This window comes from Homo sapiens, chromosome 2 (assembly GCF_000001405.40).
Source record: "Homo sapiens chromosome 2, GRCh38.p14 Primary Assembly".
Classification (NCBI taxonomy): Eukaryota; Metazoa; Chordata; class Mammalia; order Primates; family Hominidae; genus Homo; species Homo sapiens.
The window spans coordinates 13,594,675-13,616,083 of NC_000002.12; the positions used below are offsets into that span (position 1 = coordinate 13,594,675).

Below are 21,409 nucleotides of genomic sequence, written 5' to 3' on the forward strand. Positions count from 1 at the left end.
CTATATAAGTCTGTTTTCATGCAACTGATAAAGACATATCTGAGACTGGGCAATTTACGAAACAAAGAGGTTTATTGGACTTACAGTTCTACATGGTTGGGGAGGCCTCACAACCATGGCAGAAGGCAAGGAGGAGCAAATCACATCTTATATGGATGGCAGCAGGCAAAGAGAAGGCTTGTGCAGAGAAACTCCCATTTTTAAAACCATCAGATCTTGTGAGACTTACTCACTATCACAAGAACAGCAAGGGAAAGACCCGCCCCCATGATTCAATTACCTCCCACTGGGTTCCTCCCATGAAATGTGGGAATTGTGGGAGTTACAATTCAAGATGAGATTTGGGTGGGCACACAGCAAAACCACATCATTCCCCCTGCCAAAGACATGGGTTGATTTTTCTTGCCCTTTACTTAAAAAACCTGATAAAGTCCTGGAATTAAAAACTATACAGTACAAGGATTTCCTAAGGTTGCAGGTCCCATGATTCGCACTCTCAAGTTAGCCCATAAATTGCCATTTAAATGCTCCTGTCAGTTTCTGGTTCCAGTGGTTTCTCTTCTGGTTAACCTGATCTTGGCTGGACTTTTCTGTATTTTCCTGTCTCTCCAGTTTTCAGAGTGGCAGTTTGCACTGTGACCTGAATTTTCTGTTGGATCCAGGAAAAGTCATTGATTTTGAGTTCATTCAGCTCTTCTCTGTATGAAAGGATGGAAATAATGACCTCTGAGCTCTTCACATGTCGAAGCTGGATTGTACAGTTTTTTACTTGTCATTAATAAAATTTTCCTAGTCTGTTCCAGCCATAATGATCATGAGGTAGTAGAAGTTATTTTATTTTATTTTTTAATATCAATTTACTCAATTCTTTAAGATTACTTCTGCTGAAACCCTAGGGGAATGCCTTGATTGGATGCATGTCATGGGAGATTTAAAACCAGGCTCAATATTATTCCCATTATGGTTAGCTTCAGGAGTTTCAGAAAAAAAATCATTAATAAGCAGGGAGAGAAACAGCATCAGTGTACTAATCAAGTGACACTATGAACGTATTATTTAGTCACAGTGAGTAGTGTCAAAGCCCTGATGTGTCCTTTCTGAAGCTGGTTATTTACACACACACACACACACACACACACACACACACACACACGACAGAGAGAGAGTTTTTTCTCTGGAATATAACTGTTAAAATAATGACACTTAAAATCTATCAAGAAAAATTGATCTGTGCAGACTATCATAAAACCACTACTATTTATCTTCTATCTGTTTTTATGCCTTGTCTACATATTTTAGTTAGATGGCTTGCCCATTAAGTAAAGCTATGAGTCATCTGTCACTTGGAGATATTTAATAATTGGGAACAAAACAAAACAAAAATATGCCTACAACTCAGTGAAATTGTAAGAAAAATTTCACATAGTATAGTCGCTTTTATCTAAAATATTTTATCTTCTTTATTTTTAAAGGTGTGTGTATATAGACATATATATGTGTGTGTGTGTGTGTGTGTGTGTGTGTGTGTCTAAATACATAGCCATTTAATAAGATTAATCAGGCAATCCTTTGTTGCCTTGGATTAAGTCAGTAATTCACAACCAGAGGTCGTTACCCTCCACTGAGAGGACATTTGATAATATCTAGGTACAATTTTGGTTGCCACAAGTGAAAGGTTGCTCCTGCAATTAGTGGATAGAGGTTGAGAATGCTGCAAATCTTCACACAACGCACAGTACAGCCAAATCGAACAAAGAATCCTCTGTGCTAATACGTCCATAGAACTTCACATTAGAATCTTTGACCTAAGTTATTATGTCTGCCAAAATGTTCTTTACTGCTTCTTTCTTTACTGCCTCCATTCTCCTTAATTAAATAACTTCCCATTGAGTCACTAAGTGCATATACACCTCAGTGTATATTAGTTTAGCACATAATCCTTTCTAAGATGATGTTCACTGCCAAACAGATCTTCAAAGGGAGAGATCCAAAAACATAAATCTGAGTAGAAGTCAGGCATCCTGAGCCTGGCTCATGGTAGAGGACATCTTCTTTGTCTACAAGTGGTGTTGCATGATTAGGAAAGAGATATTTGTGGTAGTTCATAAAATGTCTCAAATTACACTTTCCAGGCTTGCATTTTAGCTTATATGAACATAAATTCAGCCCTTTATGTTGAATTATGTAAACTCTCATAAAAAACATTCAGTCACTTGTGCACTAGTGAACATTGCAAATTCCAGTTTCCTCAAATCTCTATACTTTCACCACATATCGTCATGTACTGATGGGATTGATTTGTTTGAATGAGGATAAAAACATGGCTTCAGTACTTTCATTTATACATGCTATAGGTGTTTTTTGTTGTTGTTGTTGCATAGCATGTCAGTTTGAAGAAATACAAATTTTGTTTCTTAAATAAGTAAAGCCTGCTTATTGAGATTGATGAGAAATACATTATCTTTTGAGGATTTTTTTTTTTTACCAACAGTGAACTGTACAGATATAGAGTCATTTTGTGTAAATTGAAATAAAAACAAAACTGGATCTTTTAGTAAATAGACTATCATATATTATTTATTTCCAAAGTCTAACAAAATAGTTAAAATGCTCTGGGTAAACTATAAATATTTCGGGATGGGTGAATAAATAAATGCATGTGTTAGTCATGAAAAAACATGTAGAAATAGCATAGAAATATTTTCTTCTCTGCCAGCTCATTACTCTGACATTTTTCCAGTATTTCCTTGAGAATATGAATAATCTTTCTATTATATTTAAAGACTGTTCAAGAAGGGGCTTCAGAGAATACTACTTCCACAAGGAATAAGAAAAGCCGCAAATAATTTTGCTCTGTTGATAACAATGAGAATATTCTAAGTAATCTACAAAATTATACCTTTTTTGAGCCTATCAAAGAACTAATCGTTGCAAAATAACTTGATGAACTGAATTCAAAATGGTAACTAATTCCTCAGTGGGCCACATAAACTGTTTCACCTTTGGTAAAGTTTATGAAACAAGGTAACAACCAGAAAAGCAGAAAAGAAGAAAACAACTGAATTTTTTATGAGTTCTTAAGGATCCCATGTAGGGGAACGTGACAGTTTAGTCTACCCGAATGTCCCAGACACTCCTCTAAGGGCTTGATTGCAGAAGCTGTCTTTGGATGCTCAGGAGAAACATGGAGCAGGCCATAGATCTGAGGGGGTTCTGCGGTGACACAGGCAGGCATATCATGATAAGCTGTTCCTACAGAACAGGTACAAAACCCAAACTCGTGTCTCACATGAAAGAAAGCTGTCTGCTGCTAAGGACAAGCTAGAAATCTCCCACCACCAGGCCCAGAGAGTGGTTAGCCACTGTTAGTAAAGGCGAAGAAGCCAAACCATCTTTTTTAGAGAACTGTAAGAACACCGCCTCACCAAGTATCATGCACTGGAATAAAGCAGACAAAGTGCTGAAAAATCACTCTCCTCCCATTCCCCCTCAATGTTATGAGGTAGCGTTTGGCTGCTATAAGGTAGGTAAAGAAAAGGGGAAAAACACTATCTTGGAAACACGTATATACATGGGCTACCTAAAACTGAGACCGAAGAAGGAGAACCAAGGATGAATAGAGACAGTAAGTCACTTTGTGTCTCTGGTGTGCAAGGCCCCTTAAAAGCTGACAGCAGAGCAGTGATGTGGAGAAAAAACTCCAGTGCTACAGTCCATAAAATAAGCAAAAGGTAGGAGTCCACCATTGATGAAGAAATTTGAAGTCTGTGGTTCACTGAAGGGCAATTCAGCAACAATTAACGCTAAGCCATCAACTCATGATTAGAGTAATTCAACCCCCTACAATGACAGCCTGACAAAAGAGCTTTGATTACTTCTGAGACAAAGTGATCGGAAAGAGCTTTAAAGAGAAAAAGCAGTCAACAAAACCATACTCAGAAATGGCCTTGATACTGAAAATTTCGGGAAAGGAATTTTAAACTATGAATAATCAGTTAAAGAACATAGTGGAAAAGGTAACAACGTGCTTGAACAAATGGATAGCTACAAAGTGATAACCATAAAGTGTCCAGTGGAAATGGGAGAAATGCAAAACATGGTATCAGACATGTAGATGTCCTGTAACAGGCTGAATAAATCGACTGGGCACTGTAAAAGACATAATAAGTTAATTTGAAGACATTCTAATAAAAATTATCTAAAAGAAATATAAAGATATTTTTAATTTAGAATAGAGGTTCTAAGAGTTATTAAACTATTATCAGAATGTTTAACATAAATGTAATTGGTGTCCTAAAAGAAAAACAAATGGAAAAGAAAGGTTAGAAGAATAGTTGAAAAGAGAGTGGCAAGGATTACATTAAATTAATCAAAACCTATACCAGTAGAATCAAAAGACTGTACTGCTAACCATAGGCAGGATAAATACTAAGAAAATTTCCAAGGGCACATTATAGTTAAATTGTGAAATACAAAAAAAAAGAGTATATATTGAATGCAGCAGTGGGGGATAGGAAAGTAGAATATAGGAAAATATATGATAATAACAGCAGACTTTTTATCCAAAACTAGGCATTGATGGGAGGCAAACAAATGTTGGAGCATTTGTTGAAAGCAGACTTGCCTTACAGGTAATATTAAAGGTTTTTTTTTTTCAGGTAAAGTCTACATGACACCAAATAAAAATTTCAATGTACAAAAAAAATATAGAAATGGTGAAAATGATATTAAATACACAAAATATTTTCCTTATACTTAATATTGTACATGATAAAAGTGTACTGTGAGATTTATACCAAGTGGCAAAGGAAAAGATCAAATAATAAAGGATGAGAGTGAGCAAAATGGAAAATTATTATGCTAAGATTCTTATATGTTGCATGAGGTGGTATTATGCAAAAGCAACTTCCAATAAATTAATGTACATTTTATAATCTGAGAACAGCTATTAAGAAATAAAACATAGAAATATGCCTACAAAATTAATGGTGAGAATAAATTGAAATAAAATAATTTCAATTTTTCCAAATATAGCAGAAAGAGGAAAAGCAGAGTAAAATAGAAAAGAAATAGCTAGAGTATGTTTAAAAACTAAAAGTATCAATAATTACATTAAACATACATCTTCCGAATACTCTAGTTAAATGTAGATTAACTAGATTGGATAAAATAGCAAGATCCACGTATATGCTACATATAAGAAATCCACTCCAAATACCGGAAGAAAAGCTAGATTAATAATAAAATAATAAAATGTTACATCATGAAAACACAAATCGACAAATCCTGAGTGGCTACATGAATACAAGGCAAAGCGGACTTAAAAAATACTAGGGATGAAAAATAATTTGCATATGTTACAGAAGTCAATTCATCAATACATAACAATCTTTTTTTTTTTTTTTTTTGAGATGGAGTCTCTCTGTCCCCCAGGCTGGAGTGCAGTGGTGCCATGTCGGCTCAATGCAAGCTCCGCCTCCCGGGTTCATGCCATTCTCCTGCCTCAGCCTCCGGAGTAGCTGGGACTACAGGCGCCCGCCACCAAGCCCGGCTAATTTTTTTGTGTTTTTAGTAGAGACGGAGTTTCACCGTGTTAGCCAGGCTGGTCTCTATCTCCTGACCTCGTGATCCGCCCACCTCAGCCTCCCAAAGTGCTGGGATTACAGGCGTGAGCCACTGTGCCCGGCCTTAAATAAGTAAAAACACATTCAAAAAAGAGCTTCAAAGTATATACTGATATAACTGGAGATAAAATATTTATAATAGCATGAAAAACATGAAATACAGATAAATTTCACAAAACACATTAAGAACTACACAAAAATTCTTGAAAAAAATTGAAGGCCTAAATAAATATAGACATATATGATATCCATGAATCAGAACACTCAATGATAAGATTTCAATATTCCCCAAACATCATACACACGCACACAACACACACACATACACACACACACCCCTACACATACAGAGAAAAATATTCTACGCAGTAAAAATTCCAAAAAGGTTTTGCTATAAATGGTCACACTGATTATAAAAGTGTTATTGAATAATAAGATACTTAAAAAAATTAAAAAGTTAAAAAAAAAAAAGAGGGCTGATACCAGCTGGCTTCAAGGCTTATTATAAAGCTAAAATTATCAAGGCAGTGTGATATTGGCATAGAGACAGACATTTATTTCAAAGAAGTGTCAAGAAATTGATGCACTTTATGTAGCCATTTTATATTTTACAATGATGCTAGGATACAAATGTTATTTAATAGAGAAAAAATTGTATTTTCAACAAATGATACCAGAAATGTTGTAAATATACATGCATACATATGTGAACGTGAACCTTTCTTGTACCCTACACCAACATTTAGTGAAACTTTATTACAGGACTAAATACAAAAGTTAAAAGTATGAAATGCGTGATAGGAAACATCAAAGAAAATCTGTCTGACCTTCAATTATGCAAATGTTTTTGGTTGTTATAACTCAAAAAGGCAAATAATATAAAAGAATAAATGATAAATTTTACTTCTTTGAAGTGAAAAATGTTTTGCTTTTTCTAAAAGCTTTTAAGAAAATGAAAGGACAGGCTTCCAACTGGCAGAAAATATTTTATAAACATATATTCGGTAAAAGGACTTACATATTGAATGTATAATACTTTAATTCAATAATTAGGACAAAAATGATTCAACATGATAAAAGATTTGAGTATACACTTCACCAAAGAAGATGTTTGAGTGACAATAAGATAAGAAATGATGCTCAAATAGCTTACTTTTTCATATTTAAGGAAACATAATTAAAAATTCAATGAATACCTCTCCAAAGCAATTATGTTGGCAAAATATCAATGAATAAAAATAACAAGTGCTAGTGAGGCTAACTGAAACTGTTATACATTGCTAGTGTGAATACAGCATGTTATAGCCACTTTGGAAAGTGTTTGGCAGTTTGTCATAAATCTAAAAATACATGTGTCATACAACTCAGAAATTTCACTCCTATTGACTGACAATGAAAATATAAGTCCACACAAGGACTTTCAGGTGAATTCTCAGCGTATTTTTTTTAATCATTAGCACCCCAAACTGAAAACAACACTATTGTCTTTCAGATGGTAAATGGACAAATTGCGACACATTTGTTCAATGGCCTACTATACAATAAAAACAAATACTGATATATGCAACAACATGGATGAATACTAAAATTACTATGTGAAGTGTGAGAAATAGACATAAAAGCCTTTATATTATCTAATTCCATTTATAGGATACTGGAAATGCAAAACTATAGTGATAACTCTACACTTTTTGAACAGAGCAATAGTTTCTTCTGTGAAAAAGTTATATTTTGGTCAATATTAGCAAACACATCACAAAGAATATCTATTGTTAGAGATTTCTGACATGGTAAAAATTAAATGTAAGACTTCAACTGCATACTGTTTTTGATGGGGACCATTGATATCACTTTTGAGTCCAAGAAATCAAGTAGGTTATTTTTCCTCAAACCATTGCTTCATTAAATTTAAAATGTGTCCGTATTTGATTAACTTGTGAAATTCCTTTACTAATGGAGGCGCTCAATGAGATAAAACTAAAAAATTCTTGCAGCAAAATTTCAAAAGTGCATTATCATAGCATCATAAATATATGATTGATACATATATGATTGGTTGGATAATTGGATAATAGTACAATTTCTTATAATGTTCAAAACTATACATTATTTTAAACTAGAAAAGGACATTCTGTAAGTATAACTTTTACTTGTAAAAGAAAAAGAAAAGCTGTGTTTTTTTCCATTTCAATTTAACTTAAAAGTTATATTGTGGGTCTATAAATAACTCTTACTGAGCCATTTTCAAAGCCTAACAGTAATTTTACTGGACGCACAGATCATTTATTTCAATTTTATGACAGATATTCAGGAATATTAATGCCAAAAATGCAAGACTAATTTAGAAATATATACATTTTTTATCTGGCATAATGTAAGATGCTAGCTGCTGCCCTTCTAAGTTCTAACATGAGTATGTTTATACCTCAATCACACTGTATTTCTGTTCTTTTATTTTATTAATTCATATATTTATTTACTATTTTAACATTCTCTCTATAAATATTATACAAATTTATTAAATAAAGTACAGAAAATATGTTGTATCTAGACTTCTTCAAACCTGAGACAAAACAGGTAAACATATTGAGGATTTATTTTCAGTTACCAATGAAAATGTAAAAATAATCCAGAAAAGTCTTAAACTATGAAGAGCTTTAATAAGTCATCATGGTGTGATTGGAGAAAAATAAGCACTTCCTGCTTTTGTAAAACGGGTAACTCAGTAGTTCTAATTTTCAATTTGTTTCTTTAAAATTTTAACAATTATGCTTACCTCACCACTTTGGTGCAAGATGAAATAAAATAAGTTATGAAAAATACCTATCAAAATGCCTAAAATCTCTTTTATTCAAAGTTGTAGGAACTGATTTATACCCCCATGAGAAATTGAGCAGAGTGGACTTGGATTTTCTTGTAGTATTGTAAATCAATTTGTATTATATAAGCCCTCCTGCCTCTGTGGTCTGTTTTCATGGTTCTATTAATTAGATCTGAAAAACAGAGCATCACACTGCTGAATTCCAGACCCCAACTTTTCTGACATAATTACATTCAGAAATATACTGTAGGTTAAAAATAACCTACACTATAAAGTCTAAAGTCTAAAAACTTTGTAAAAACTATAAAACGTATTAGGAAAATTATCTCACAAACCTAGTTTTTGCTCAGCTGCAGATATTAACATCTTGACATACATTACATGGAGCACTAATGCTGTCCTCCAGATCCTTACCATGTGGACTGTGGAGTCTGTTCTATCTCTGCTCTTTTCATTATTGACTTCATTTCTGTGTTGGTGTAATTATTCTCATTTATTTGTTTCCTTAGTCCCAACAGCCTATTTTTCATTTCTACCTATTTCTTCATCATCTCTTTTGAACTCTTGCATGCCAGATTAAAGCTCTTGTATGAAAACGGTAATGATTTCCTCATTTAAAAATATTTGGTGATGTGTTTTGCTGTTATTTTCTTGTTTCATGACAATATATCTCTAGTGATTTGCATTATTTCATTGGTTTTACATTACTGTTTCCTTCTCCAGTATGTTACATTGAATCACACTCTTGATTTTGTGACTCCTAGGCTGGGTCCTATCAGTCCACAGAATATAACAGAAATCATGGAATGCAAATATTTTCTATATCATAACCCAGGTCACCTTTGCAAGGACTCTTCGTAGAGTCCAAAAGTGAGTAATCAAATTCGCTTTCTAGTATTAGCCAAGTACAAGTACTGGTTCTAAAAGGATGGCCTGGGTCTTAATCGGGTGCTAATCCCAAACGTAGTTTGAAAATGAAGTTCAGGGAGAGTTCCAAGTTGCCAGAGGGGGCCCTCCAACAACCTTGGGATATGATTCTAACCCTTACTGTCCTGCCCGGCAGCAACGTCCCAAGGTGCTGCTCCTTACTTAGCAGAAACAGTCTTCAGTATCTGCAGCTGAGTATGTCAGCCCTGAGATGAGTACACAAGCCAAGTAATTGGGCAGTAGGCCTGGACTGCTCTCTACTTCTCATTAGGCAATGCCCCTTGTTGATTGAGATGGCCTTAGGGCTAGGCAAGCATAACTCAGTCTGGCTCTGTTGAGGCTCTGTCCACTCTAGCCCTCCCTCACTGGGGCATATATGTGGCAGGACCTGAGTTGTAGGATATTGCATGTGCTATGGTAGTAATCCTGTATGAGACTGCAATCAGGCAGTTTGTCAAATCCAGATGCTGGTTATGGAGTATCCTGAGCTACGGCAACATGCGTACTGAGTGCTGGACATCCAAGCTTCTTATTGTCTTCCTTCCAAAGCGGTGATAGGGTATACAGTCTAGCTTGTATGTCCTACTGCCAGGCCTTGTAGGAGAGCTAAAGCCTTTCCAGAGCTAGTTAAAACAGCATGTGATAACAGAAGCTCTTGTCCTCTTTGGCTGTCATCACTTTGTAAGCCAGGATCTGTAAATTTTGTTATTGGGCTACTTGACATAAATGAGGTGTACTGTCTCAGTTTGGGTAGACAACATTAGAAAAATGAAATAACTATTAACTATGTGTGGAGTGTATTAGAAATATTTGCTACATAAGTTTGAATGAAACAGATATTTTAAAGCCTATATATTTGAAGCCTAAAGTAAATAATACTTAATAACATCTCTGAAAATCCAGATATGTACCCATATCAGGTTTTCTTTCCTTCTTTCTTCTCCCTTCCCTTCCCTTCCCTTCCCCTCCCTTCCCCCGTCCCTTCCCCTCGCTTCCCCTACCGTCCCCTCCCCTCCCTTTCTTCTTTTTTTTGACAGACTCTCACTCTGTTACCCAGGCTGGAGTGCAGTGCTGTGATCTCAGCTCACTGCAACCTCCGACTCCTAGGTTGAAGCGATTCTCCTGCCTCGGCCTTTCAAGAGCTGGGATTACAGATGTGCCCCACCACGCTTGGCTAATTTTTGTACTTTTAGTAGAAATGTAGAGACAGGGTTTCACCATGTTGGCCAGGCTGGTCTCAAACTCCTGACCTCAGGTGGTCCACCTGTCTTGGCCTCCCAAAGTGCTGGGAGTACAGGTGTGAGCTACTGCACCCCGCCAGGCTCTTTATTTTTATAAGGGAAGACTGATATCATCTATTCACCCTCTTGAAGAGTCCAGTGAGTTAAGCAATGATAAAAATAGCAAGCATAGCATTTAACAGATGGTGTTGTCTCCCTTGGGATAAACCCAGTATTAGGTTTAGAAACCTCAGCAGACATGACCGGAATCACATAGTTTTCTGTATATGCCTGTACATTTGCTAAGTAATTTTAAAACAATCATTGTCATATTTATTTTGGACAATTTTTTTCTTGGTGTTATAGGCAAGTTGATTACAGACTCATTTAATTTTTATGACTGAAATGAATGATGAAAATTACCAGGTCCAATTTCATGCTCAAGGCTGCAAAAGCTTATATTTTAATGAAAACACATAGATACCCTGCCCGTGTGGAAACTTTCCAGTGTCCACTTTTCATCTGCCCCCACACAGCAGTGTCCCTTCCATTTGGGGGCATTTCTAGTTAGTTAATAATTTTCCATTATCTCTCTAAAGTGCATTCATACAGACTTATATAGGAGAAAGAATTTCCTGATTAAAAAATTATCTGTCCCAGAAAATGTCCCAGAGGTTTATGTTAGCAATAGATCCACCTAACATTAATCGCTAAAGGCAAATTAGCATGTACTTTTTGAAAGAAATTGTAAGTTACTATTGAGTAAATTTGTAACAATTATGTGATATTTTGGTGATAAAAGGTGTTAAATGAAAGAAATTTGGGCACAGTTTTCCAGGGTTATTACAACTAAGAATAAGTTTCCATTTATTAGGAAAAGCATGTAGTTTAAAATATACAGTTAGACATTGCTTAATGACAGGGATATATTCTGAGAAATGCATAGTTAGGTAATTTCATTGTGCAAACATTATAATGTACTTATACAAACCTAGAGGGTCTAGCCTACTACACACCTAGGCTATATGGTAGAGCTTATTGCTCCTAGGCTACAAACCTCTAAAGCATGTTATTGTACTAAAGACTGTAGGTAATTGTAACACAATGGCATTTGTATATCCAAACACATCTAAACACAGAAAAGGTACAGTAAAAATACACTATTATAATTTTATGGGATCACTGTCATATGTGATCCGTTGCTGATTAAAAAATCTATATGGTGCATGACTAGAATCATTTATTCTGGGAGTATGTGAAATTTGTTAACATTATTCTAGTCTTTAGGTTAGTAAAGGATCTGACAATCAATAACCCTTCTGACAAGTAATCACTTGTCAGATTCTTAACAAAAGTAATTATTAAAAGTTTTCTCTAATATAACAAATGACTAAATATCTCCACCGAGTTGAATATTACACTCAAGCCAACATTTATTAAACAGTTATGAAGGTCAATATTCAGTAATAAAATATTTACAGCCCAAGTGTTCATGGATGAAAATATTTAGAAAGAGAGATTAATATTCAAACAACTAATTACATTAGTATCCAAATACTCATACTATCCAAATAGTCATAAAATAATTGGTTTAGAGGGAAGTGTGAATTATTTTGAGGAGGTTAAACAATTACTTCAAAGGATAAAGGAGCTGAATATTAAAGGATAAATATAATTTTTTATCAAATATAGGAATCTGGCTCAAACCCTCCTTTGAAATTGTCAAACGTATTTTGTAAAATAATAAATATTTAAAATCTTGCCAAAATAGGAGTAAATTGAAAATACGTTTGCTTTACTAGAAAGAAGTACATACTTATTTCTACAACATTTAGGTATATTTTAAAGATAAGTAATAAATCATTCTGACTGTATTTCCTGTGGTTATTTTCATCTAATTTGCCCAAGCATTTTTCTGAGGGTCCCGGTAATATCTTATAACTCAAAAAAATCAATAAATAACCAGAGCTAATTTCTGGACTAATTCCAGGAAGATGATGACTCAAAATCATCTTTCATGCCTTTCAACTCAACTCTAAATCAGCCGGCTGTCTTGAGGCAAGCAGTTCCTGAGTCTTGTGAGCAACTGATTAGGAAGGAGAAGTTCAGCTCTAGAGAAATCCAATAAAACAGAAGTGGTACAAGGCTCTTGTGGCCAGTGTCTAGTGTGACTACTAGAGGCCATTCTAAAAGGACCCAGTGTAAAGAAAAGAATGTAATATGTATATGTGTATCTATATCTATATCATCTATAACTATCATCTCCTAGAAAGAGCCTGGCCTACAGAATTGCAAAAACCACATCGGTCCTATGTGAGTTTGCCTGACCTGCCTCATCTCCAAGGAGCCAAAACTGTCTAACTCCTACTCCTGAGGCTAGGAAAGCCAAGAGCATTGATACCTCCATGGGGATTTGCATCCTGCTTGTTGACAGAGGGCCAGCTATCTCTAGGTTGTACCACTTGCAGAAATGCCATGACTCAAGGTGTTTCAACTAAAGACTTGGGCTCCAGTGAGCAAATAAAGATAAGTGACACCATATAGGAGAATTCTTGCAGCCAAATATAATTAACTCAAGCATAAGGAAAAAATCACAAACTTTAAGATGGGGAAAACATTTTCTTACAAAGAAAAAAATTAGAGTAGTACCGTATGTATTTTTTCATTTACAACATCAGAAGCTAAAAGTGGTAGAATGACATCAAAAGAAATTCACAGTGATACAAAATGTCATACCCAACAAAACTATCAGTATCTAGGAAAAAAGAAGGATGTTGTGGATATTCAAGAGTTTATTATCCATGAATTTGAGTTCAAAGAAATATTCAAATACTTGAGCAAGGACTCTACAAAATATTTTTAACCCTCTACAATGAGAAAAAAATTTTTTAAGAGAAATGATCAGTAATAAAAATGTAAAATATGTAGCAGTACATTATAGCTAAATATATATATACACATAAAAAATAAATGTACAATTGTCAACTATTATATAGTGTAATTGTCAATATAATATAATTTAATGTAAATATATTTATATAGATGAGAGATTATAAGGGAAATTTTAACAATAGACTAAGTAAAAATCTATGTAGACACTGACAGAAAAATAGTAAGATAGAGAAAACAAGCATTTTAAAGGTATCATATAGGGTGAGTAATGGGAAATGATGGCATCAGAGCATATTTGTGTGGAAAAATACTTAGTATTATGTTAAACAAGAAAAATATGAGTTTTATTATCAGAATTATGCACCCTCCTCAGAGAGAGTTTTCAAAAACATATTGACTAATTGGGCAACCTTATCAATTTCCAACCCATTAACTGATTTACTGTTATTTTCCATAGCACTTATTTCTTGACATTTTATCATATATTTATGTGCATCTTTGTTAGTGTTGGTTTTTGTATTAGAATAATTAGAATATAAACTGTATTGTGTTAAGGACTTTGTCTATTTCAGTCTTTGTCTTAGTCCCATGCCAGGCAGAAACGTGAACAGTAAATAAATATTTATAAAGCAAATTTATCATTTCCAGGTTTAAAAAGTTAATGGGTTAATGTAATGGAGAAGCATTCTACATTTACAAAGTTGTCAATGCGAAATATAGAATCAATAGAAATTTGACAAAACCAGAAAAAAAATCATCAAAATGCAAAAAAAGAAAATAATATAAATTCAAATATAGAGTAAGTAAAGAAAAACAACAACAACAACAAAAACTCCTTAGAACAACAGCAACAACAACAAAAAGCTGGACAAACTAAAAATCGATGTTTTTTTTTAGGATACGTCATGGAACAGAGGGCAACCTGCCTCCTGGAAATGTGGAGTGTCTAGGGAGTCACAGCTGAGATCTTCCTTGGATTAAAGGCTGCGGGTGTCACAAACAGGTAGGAATATTCAAGTGGTAATCTTGAAGAATTACTGGAAGCTGAGGGTAGTCTAGGATGTGAATGAAAACCTCCTGTGGGCCTCAGTCTCAGGGAGGGGCCACTCTTTTCTGGGCTTTACCTCCAGGAACCTTATCTTGTTCTCACGGTGAAGAACCTATAGCTTCCATTGTGGCTCTGGGGAATGGGAGGGGACAGAGGAAGGCACACTGTTAAGAGAATAAAAATATAAACCACAGACTTGAATATCATATTTGCAGAACATATATGTTATAAAGAACTTGTATCCAAAACATAGAAGGAACACTTTAAACTCAACAGTAAGAAAGGAAACAACCTACATTAAAAATGAAAGAGATATCAGCAAACACAAAGAAGACATACAAATAACAAATAATCACATGCACAGTCCTTAAACAAATGTAAATTAAAACAAGATACTACAATATACCTATTAAAATGGCAAAAAAACTCACAAACCTAGTTTCTGCTCAGCTGCAGATATTAATATCTTGACATTAATATCTATATACATTATATATAATACATTACAATATAATATATATTATATCATGTATATTATATACAATATAGTATATCATATATAGTATATATTATATAGTAATGTATTATATATAATGTATAATGTATAAATATATAATATATACTACATACTATACTATTATATATACTATATATTATATATGATACATATACTATATAATATGCTATATATTATACTATATAATATGCTATATATTATACTATATAATATGCTATATATTATACTATATAATATGCTATATATTATACTATATAATATGCTATATATTATACTATATAATATACTATATAATATGCTATATATTATACTATATAATATACTATATATTATACTATATAATATACTATATAACATACTATATATTATATATGATACATATACTATATTACATATATAATATATATATATATATATATATATATATATATATATATATATATATAAAATACCAAATGCTGGCCGAGATGCAGAGCAACAGTAACTTTCACAATTTCTGGTGTGATTGTAAAATAGTATAGCCACTTTGGAATATCCTTTGGCAGTTTCTTACAAACTTAAAGATAGTTTTAACATATAATTTAGCAGTCAGTCTTCTAAGTGCTCTAATAATTTTAAAATATCATGTCCATAGAAAAATATTGTATCCATTTGTTTTTCGCAGTTTTATTCATAATAGTCAAAACTGGAAGGAACCAAGATGTCCTTCAGTAGGTGATTTGAGACATGGTGGAATATCCATATAAAAGAACACTCTTCAGAATAAAAATGAATGGGTTATCAAGCTATGAACCCAAAGGATTATAAATCATGCTACTATAAAGGCACATGCACACATATGTTTATTGTGGCACTATTCACAATAGCAAAGACTTGGAACCCACCCAAATGTCCATCAATGATAGACTGGATTAAGAAAATATGGCACATATACACCATGGAATACTATGCAGCCATAAAAAAGGATGAGTTCATGTCCTTTGCAGGGACATTGATGAAGCTGGAAACCATCATTATCAGAAAACTATTACAAGGACAGAAATCCAAACGCCGCATGTTCTCACTCATTGGTGGGAATTGAGCAATGAGAACACATGGACACAGGGTGGGGAATATCACACACCAGGGCCTGTCAGGGGGTGGAGGTCTGGGGGAGGGATAGCATTAGGAGAAACACCTAATGTAAATGACGAGTTGATGGGTGCAGCAAACCAACAGGGCACGTGTATACCTATGTAACAAATCTGCACGTTATGCACATGTACCTTAGAACTTAAAGTATAATAATTTAAAAAAAGAAAATATATGGATAAGTCTTTAATACATATTGCTAAGTAAAAGAAGAAAGCCTGGAAAGATTATAAGCTATATGATTCCAAATATATGTATAACATTCTGGAAAGGTAAAACCATAGAGACAATAAATAGATTAGTGATTGCCAGGTGGCAGGGAAGAAAGTTGTGGTGGGAGGATTGAATAGATAAAGCACAAAGAATTTTTTTTTAGGGCAATAAACCATGCTGTGTGATACTGTAGTAGGTGATACATGATACTGCATTTATCAAACCCCATAGAACTTCATAGCTCAGCAAATGAAATAATGTATGCAGATTTAAACAAAAATCATTTAGGAGATTGGAAGATTCCACAATGGAATGCAGAATGTGATGAAAGAATCTGTTTACCAAATGTATTAAATGGTGTTATTGAAAAAGGTGGGGGAAATGGTACTGACTTAAATAACTTTGGAAATGAGTGGTCTGCAAGACTATAAACAAAAGGTACTGCACAAATGCACTATATGTCATTTGACAAGTTTGTGTCCCGAAGAGGTATAGGTTTACAATTCTGAAATTAGTATATATGCTTAATTGAATTTAACAATTGTATTTGCGTCGCAGATCAAGAGACATAAGTTTCTTGCTGTTGGAGTGGGACGTTACAGATAAAAATTGGAAGAGAAGAGAATGATCTATACGGTGATAGATTAGGATTGAGCATGATTATGAACTACTGTTTAGCTTAATATATGTATAGATGGTAGCATATAGAAATATTTATAGATATGTGCATTTATGTATTCATGTCCTGACAGAGGGCAGAGAGATCCCATTCTACAGGGAGGGAAAAATAAATCTTAGCTATGTCAAATTTTTTACCTCATAAATCCATTATTGCCTAGAGCAAAACACTAGTTTTTTGTATGTTGTGTACCAGGAAGGGGTGATGCAATGAAAGAGTTTTTGGGGCAGGTGTTAAAGGCAGGGAGCCCTGGAGAGAGTTTGAAAGTAAAAGATCATCAAGCTAAAGGAAACTAAAGGAAAAGGGCCATGCTGGGCAGAATTCAGAAAATGAATGTTTGATGCATCCCAGCAGAGAGCTTCTCTAGGCTCTTCCTCTTCACAGTGGTTAGCACATGCTGTGCTCCACGGGGCCACAGAGCACTTGACAGTCACTCTGCATTAAGTTTTCCTACCAGGTAAGTCATATGAAGCAACAGGGAGCAATGAGGGTTAATCCTTCCCTGGCCTCTATGAGCAAGAAAATCATCAACATCCCAAATTCTAAGAAAAGAGGCTAGTATCAAACAAACAAGCACATAAACAAACAAAAATACTTCCTCATTAGCATGGCTATGCTTTGCACAATTCTCTGATTACCTCTGCATCAGATTATTTTTGAACACAATGGAATATTAATACCTAACTGAAGCAGGGCACAGTGGTTCATGCCTATCTCAGGGGGAGGTTGCAGTGAACCGAGATCGTGTCACTGCACTCCAGCCTAGATGACAGAGTGTGACCCTGTCTCAAAGTAATCATTAGTAATAATAATACCCATCTGAAAGTTTCTCTTCATTTAAACTTTTTTAGCAATATAATAAGTAAACAAATTTAATCAGCAGTTGTTTAAGAGAAACGGAACTCTAAATGAGCAATAATTAACATGGTAACATACCCAGATTCTCTTGTAGTCAAGTAAATACAAATTAAAAGCACAACAAAAAAATCTTTTAGGATTCATAATGTTGGTACTTTTATCATTTGACAATATCAAGAGTTAGATAGGATGCAGGAAAACAGGAATTCTCATATACTGCCAGTAAGAGTATAAAATTATGGCAATAACTTTAGAAAACAATGTGGCAATTATGTTACAATTTTGGGATATGCCTGATCTGTGGCTCAGCAATACTAGTCCTTGATAATGCACCTAAGAAAAGCTCTCACAGGTACAAAGTAGTCATGCAACAGTCATTCTCTGATCTAACAAAGGTTGGAAACAATCTGAATCTATGCTGTCTAGTTAAGTAGCTTCTGATCACTTGAGGTATATATTGTTGCATGGAAACATAAAAAGTAATAGGTATGTAAAGGAATACATGGAAATAAAGTATTTAAATTTCTGGAGAGTGGTTATCTTCTAAGAAAGAGTGAAAGGAATAAGGACATTCAGTGTGTTTGTAAAACTTTTATACTTTAAGCTGGGAGGTGGGTAGAAGGAATCTTATACTTTTCTCTACAAACTTTTTAATTTTTAATTTTTTAATGATTATGAATAAATAATAAACATATGTATAGGGTACATGTGATATTTTGACACAAACCTACAATGTGCAATGATCAAATCAGGATAATTGGGGTACAAATCACCTCAATTATTTGTCATTTCTTTGAGCTAGGAACATTCTAATTCTGCTCATTAAGTTATTTGAAATATACAATAAATTATTGTTAACTATAGTCAGCCTATTGTGCTACCAAATATTAGATCTTATTCCTTCTGTCTAATTGCATATTTCTGTACCCATTAACCATCCTTATTTTATACCCCCTCCCCACTACTCTTTTCAGCCTCTGGTAAACATTCTGCTCTCTATCATTATGGGTTCAATTCTTTTTTATCTCCCAAATATTACTTAGAACATGCAATATTTGTTTTCAGTGTCTAGTTTATTTCACTTATAATGACCTCCAGTTTCACCCATGTTGTTACAAATGACAGGATTTCATTCTTTTTTTATGGCTAAATAACATTCCATTGTGTATATGTACTATATTTTTAAATCCATTAATCTGTTGATGAACGCAAGTTGATTCCATATCTTAGCTCTTTTGAATACTACTATAGCCTGTAATCCCAGCACTTTGGGAGGCTGAGGTGGGCAGATCACGAGGTCAGGAGATCAAGACCATCCTGGCTAACACGGTGAAACCTCGTCTCTACTAAAAATACAAAAAATTAGCTGGGCGTGGTTGTGGGCACCTGTAGTCCCAGCTACTGGGGGGCTGAGGTAGGAGAATGGTGTGAACCCAGGAGGTGGAGCTTGCAGTGAGCCGAGATTGCACCACTGCACTCCAGCCTCGGCGACAGAGCGAGACTCTGTCTCAAAAATAAATAAAATGAATACTACTATAATAAACATGGGAGTGCAGATATCTCTTTGATATACTGATTTTCTTTCATTTGGATATATATGCATCAGTGGGTTTGCTAAACCATGTGGAAGTCCTATTTTTAGTTTTTTGAGGAAACTCCATAATATTCTCTATAGTGGCTGTAGTAATTTACATTTCTGCCAGCAGTGTATAAGGGGCCCCTTTCTTCACATTTTCACCAGAACTTGTTATTGCCTGTCTTTTGAATAAAAGCCACTTTTACTGGGGTGAGCTGATATCTCATTGTGGTTTTGATTTGCATTTCCCTGATGATTAGTGATGTTGTTGAGAATTTTTTTTTTTAAATAAAGCTTTTGGCCATTTGTATGTCTTCTTTTGAGAACTGTCTATTCAAACCTTTTGTTTATTTTTTGATTAGATTATTTGTCTCCCCTCCCCACTGAGTTGTTTCAACTCCTGATTTATTCTGGTTTTTCTGTTGTCAGATGGGTGGTTTGCAAATATTTTCTGTCATTTGTGTATTGTCTCTTCACTTTGTTGAGATTTGATTATTGTGTATGTTTAGAGATAAGGGTCTAGTTTCATTCTTCTGCATATAGTTATCTAGGTTTTTGAGCATCATTTGTTAAAAAGGCTGTCCTATCCCAGTGTATATTCTTGACACCTTGTCAAAAATAAGTTGAGTATAAATATGTGGATTTATTTCTAGGTTTTTTATTCTGTTCCATTTATCATTGGTCTATATGTCCGTTTTATGCCAGTACCATGCTGTTTTGGTTACTATAGCTTTGTAGTATAATTTAGAGTCAGATGATGCCTGCAGCTTTGTTCTTTTTCCTCAAGATGGCTTTCACTATTCTGGTTCTTTAGTGGGTTCATATAAATTTTAGAATTATTTTTCTTATTTCTGTCTTTGGTATTTTGATAGGGATTGCATTGAATCTATACATTGCCTTGGATAGTGTGAACATTTTAACAATATTGGCTCTTTCAACCAATAAACATGGAATATCTTTCCATTTTTTGTGTCTTATTTAGCTTCTTTCATCAATACACTAGAGTTTTCATTGTAAAGATCTTTCACTTCTTTGGTAAGCTTATTCCTAGGTATTTTATTTTATTATATTTATTGTATATTATACGTATATATTATACAATTTTAATATGCAAAAAATATATAATTGTATAATTGTATTATACATATTATATTGTAATATTGTATATTATTGTATTATACAATGAATATAATATAATTATATAATATTTATAATATACATTAATATAATAAATCATAAATTAAAAATAAGTTATAATTATATGTAATTTATTATATATGATATTAATATATTTTATTATAAATGGAATTACTTTTTCAGATTGTTTGCTGTTTGCATATAGAAATGCTACTGATTTTGGTATGTTGATTTTGTATCCTGCAACTTTACTGAATTTGCTTATCAGTTCTAATAGTTCTTTGGTACAGTATTTAGGATTTTCTAAAAGTAAGATCATATCAAACAAGGGTAGTTTGAATTCTTCCTTTCCAATTTGGATGCCCTTAATTTTTTTCTTTTGTCTGATTGCTCTAGTGAGGACCTTCAGTACTATGTTGAATAACAGTGGTTATTCAACAGGGCATCCTGTCTTGTTCCAGATCTTAGAGGAAAAAGACTTTCAGTTTTTCCATGTTCAGTATGATACTAGCTTTGGATCTGTCATTGATGGCTTTCATTGGGTTGACGTATGTTGTTTCTGTACCCAGTTTTTAAGGGTTTTTATCATGAAAGAATGTTGAATTTTATCAAATGCTTTTTCAGCATCAATTGAAATGATCATATGGTTTTTGTCCTTTATTCTCTTATTATGATGTATCACATTGATTGATTCGCATATGTTAAACCATGCTTGAATCCCTCAGATTCAAGGATGTGACCCACTTGGTCACAATGAAGATCTTTT

At 33.9% G+C, this 21,409-nt stretch overlaps 1 long non-coding RNA gene across 5 annotated transcripts in view; it reads left to right on the top strand.

Moving 5' to 3' along the window:
• The window catches only part of LOC105373438 (uncharacterized), a 220,483-nt gene that overhangs the window by 56,761 nt on the left and 142,313 nt on the right, over nt 1-21,409 (top strand). For all 5 annotated transcript variants that reach the window (NR_188380.1, NR_188384.1, NR_188383.1 and 2 more), the window contains exon 2: nt 14,382-14,487. This is a non-coding gene — a long non-coding RNA (uncharacterized LOC105373438). The remainder of the gene's footprint in view (nt 1-14,381; nt 14,488-21,409) is intronic.